The sequence below is a fragment of the Homo sapiens genome, chromosome 8 (genome assembly GCF_000001405.40).
Source record: "Homo sapiens chromosome 8, GRCh38.p14 Primary Assembly".
NCBI classification, from domain to species: Eukaryota; Metazoa; Chordata; class Mammalia; order Primates; family Hominidae; genus Homo; species Homo sapiens.
In genome coordinates, this window is record NC_000008.11 from 83,061,536 (window position 1) to 83,065,800 (window position 4,265).

General features: G+C 39.9%; 1 annotated feature.

The window, feature by feature from the left end:
* Window positions 2,729-3,525: an enhancer, noted in NCBI's record as "OCT4-NANOG-H3K27ac hESC enhancer chr8:83976499-83977295 (GRCh37/hg19 assembly coordinates)". NCBI's record gives its function as "activates a minimal SCP1, AML or CMV promoter by ChIP-STARR-seq in naive H9 embryonic stem cells {active_cell/tissue: H9 hESC(naive)}" and the evidence as "EXISTENCE:reporter gene assay evidence [ECO:0000049][PMID:30033119]".

Consider the following 4,265-nt stretch of genomic DNA (forward strand, 5'->3'; position numbering starts at 1 on the left):
CTCCTGAGTAGTTGGGACTACAGGCACACACCACCATGCCCAGCTAATTTTTGTACTTTCAATAGGATTGTTTGCTTTTTGTTATTGAGTTGTAGATCTCTATATATCCTCGATGTTAACTTCTGATCAGATGTATAATTTACAGATCGTTTCTTCCGTTTCATGTGTTGGCTTTTTACTCTGAGTCCACTCTTGTTAACTAAGAATACAAACTGATTCTGCTAAGGTGAGAGAATTAAAACTGGACCTGATTAAACTCAGTGTAAGTTACAGAAAGGATAACTGCAGCATCTAGGGCAAAGGTAGTAGAGTGAGATTGTGAAGTTACTGCATGCTTTCTCTTCTCACATTTAATTCACTTTACTTATTACTTTCTCATTTACTTTGATTAAGGCACTTCATGAAGGGGATAAATAGTCTCTTATTTCATGCTCAAGTGTGTTCATTGTTGACATTCTCCAGGCAATAGAGTTTTAAAATGAATCAATTAAGTGACATATCCATAAATATTAACCTGAAAATAAACCTTCTATCATCACCACGACTTTACTGAGAGGGGAAGTTCAATGGGGAAGTCCCCACAGAAATAATTCAATGTGAAAATTGTTCCCAATTCATGAAGTATAATAGGGAATAAAGCACTTCACTTTCAAGGATGACACTTTCCTTTTTTGCTCACCCTTACACGTATATCCACATCTAGTAGAGATCGGGTAGAGGTTGGAGGTTTTGAATTCACATGTATCATTTTCATTTAGTAGTAGGCAAGCATCAACTGCAAATAATTAAAAGGGTCAGAATCTGTTTAAAGAGAGTTTATTTAAGGGCAAAGTTTGAGAATAACAGCCCTGGAAACATAGATTCAAAAGAATGGAAGTCAGTATTCCAAAGTATTAAAGTTTGGGATCATTTATATAGGCAAAGTTTAGAGAGGCTTAATGGAATTTCAATGGCTTTGTATATAAGGCTTAATGCATAGTCCCAACAATCTAATTAGTCAATGGTCTTTTTCTCTGGGGAAAGGTATATTTAACATTCCACAAAATATATTTAATCTTCCACTGAAGACCCATGGGGTATTTTGTACCATCTAGTTTGAGTTAGGTACAGAACAATGAAGGAGGCAGTTCATCTATAACAAAAATCTGATTTGAAGGGGAGAAGATCTGATCTCTTGTCTCTCCTAGTCATATACAGAACTAGAACAATGAGGAAGAGAGTTAATCTGTAATCTAAGAAGCACAATTGCAGCCGCCTTGTCCCTGTTGGCATAATAAAATTTAGAGCGTCTTGAAATTTTCTTTTCTTTTACATAAGTAACCCACAGATTAAGAAGAAACAAACTGGGATACATTTTCCTCTTTAGGATCCATAGCTATAGATTACCCAAAATTAAACCTGGGTCATTAGGCAAAGTTTAGCTATAAAAAGACCTAAAAGAGTAATCACTATATGTAAAATATTCACTGACTGTTACCATTATTTAAGTAAAATATAGATATGCACACACACCTTGCATGTAAATGTAAAGTTGAATATAAGCTAACTTAATTTCTACAATATTTTTATTCCAGTTTTTTAGATAATTATATGCTTTCTCAGAAAAATGTAAAAATGTACACAAGAGGGAGGCATTTCCAGAACAGCACAATAAGGACCTCCACAATCTATCCCTTTTAAGAACAAAAAGATTTCTGATACAATAATTATCAAAATCAAGTTTTTTAAAACTCTGAAAATTAACGAAAGGACCACAAAAATATGAAAATTTTTTTTAAATGGCTGACTCCTAGTAAGAACAGCAAGGCTTATGGTGCTCTAATTTGTCCTGTTTTCACCTCCTTCAACTTTTCTCTCCAGAAGCCTTGAAAACCAGCATTCTAGAAACCATGGAATCTCTGGAAGCCTAGGGCACCAACTCATGACTGCCTCTAGTTGGCCATGGGCCAATTCACTTCAGCCTCTAATTGGCTGTGGCCCCAAATCCTTCACCAACATAGTGAGTAACCAATGGGAAACCTCTAAATGGTACTTAAACCCAAGAAAACTTTGCAACTGGGGTTCTTGAATGACTTGCTCAGGCCTGCTCCCACTCTGAAAAGTGTACTCTCACTTCAATAAATATCTACTTTTGCTGTTTCATTCTCTTGTTGCTTTGTCTGTGCGTTTTGTTCAATTTTTTGTACAACATGCCAAGAACCTGTACAACTCTCACTCAAGATCTTCCTTCTGGTAACATATTTTGGCATGCCAGTCAGGAGGTAAGCCTAAATTTGGGGATTTATTTTCTTTCTTTGTTTCTTTCTTTTTCTTTTCCTTTTTGTCAAGCCTTCATTTGTGGGTATGGGATGGACTCATCCCTATGCAGGCTCCCTCCACTCCATAAAAGGGAAACCCTTTCTCTCTCTCCCTTTTCCTTTCCTAACTTGGGACTCTTGGTGGACAGCATCTAAGCATGGAGACAACTGCAGGTCTCTGGCTGGGGCCACTCTCCAGTGAGAAGCGCCTGACCACCACTGCCCTGCCTGGTTCCACCAAGGAACTTTGTCTTTTCCTTTTTTTTCTTTTTTCAGTCTCCTTTTCCTTTTTTTTTTTTTTTTTTTTCAGTCCTGTGGCCACTCTCTGATTTTACCTGAAGGCCAAGGAATGAACAAGGATAGCTGCCCTGCCCAAAAAAGAGAAGGACTCTTTTCTATCCTTTCTGGTTATAGTCCCTTATCACTATGTGTGACACAGTTGGGAGCAGCAGTTCATCCAAGGTAAATTCACATACCTTTCAGGTGATTTCAACCCTCTCTTTCTTATGCTAAAATTCTCCTGTGGAGCCCAAGTGTGCCCATGATGCCAGAAGATAATGTCTCTTAAGTGTTTTGACCTCCCTTCTCCTACTCAATCTGGCTGAGGACCTTTGGGGCCCACAAGCTTTAGAATACATCCTACCTCTTGGACCTCTACTGAAAAAAGCCTGTTTCTTTTGTAGTTACCATATTATTTCTATAGAATGGCCTGCCTATACACAGGAACCACTGTCATAGTGGTGGATTTTTAACCATTCCCTCCCTTGTCAAGGGCTTGAGTGGAATAACCAACCCCATTATTTCATTTTTCATGCCCAAAATCCATCCTACCTCTCTTGAGCAATTACACTTGATCCCCATTACAAAAGAAGCCTGCCCAGTGTTCAGTCTCTGTCATTTAAAATTTATGGCTATCACCCTAATAGAATGGGAAGCATGGGAAAGCATAGCCTTATCACATTTCAAGGATGCCAAGAGTTGGGGCCTTCATCCAGAGACAATAGGGAAACTCATGCTGGGCCATCAATTGTGGAGGGAACCATTCTAAAGTGGCACTGGCCACCATCTAAGGTAAGAGATGCCTGACAAACTAAAAAAGGGCCCTAAAGGAGGATGCCCCTGGGGACTCCAGACATGACCCAATTTTTCCAGCAGGATGCCCCAGGTAAAATTTGGGTCACTAAATAAGCCCTTGTCTTTTCAAAGTCCTCTTTTCTTTTCCAGATGACTATAGGCAACTCTCTATTCATTCTACCTGATTCCCCACTTTGCTGCATCCTCAACCACTGGAATCAATTTGACCCTGGCAATCTAAGAAGAAAATGTCTCAATTTTTTTTTTTGTTTTTTTTTTTTTTGTTTTTTTGGCTTTTGAGACGGAGTATCAGTCTGTCGCCAGGCTGGAATGCAGTGGTGCTATCTCCTCTCACTGCAACCTCTGCCTCCCAGGTTCAAGCAATTCTTCTGCCTTAGCCTTCCGAGTGTTGGGACTACAGGCATGCACCACCGTGCCCAGCTAATTTTTGCATTTTTAGTAGAGACAGAGTTTCACCATGTTGGCCAGGCTGGTCTCGACTACTTGTTCTCATGATCTGCCCTCCTTGTCCTCCCAAAGTGCTGGGATCACAGGCATGAGCCACCACACCCGGCCACATCTGACTTTTTTACTGTAATACTCTATGGCCCCAATATCATCTGGACAGCCAGGAACAATGGGCCATCAATAGTAGTCTTCATTACAACACCATATTGCAACTAGACCTATTTTGCAAAAGGCAGGGTAAATGGTCAGAAATCTCATATGTACAGGTCTTCATGGCCCTATATCAAAACCCAAAAATCTGCAAAACTCCAAGAAGCTGCCCCAAAAGAAAGTCCTGAGGCAGAACCAGATATTGTTGATGACCCCCTTTTACAAGGGCATCTGTCTCTCAGGGGAAACTGCAACCAACCCCAGGTAACCCCCTGC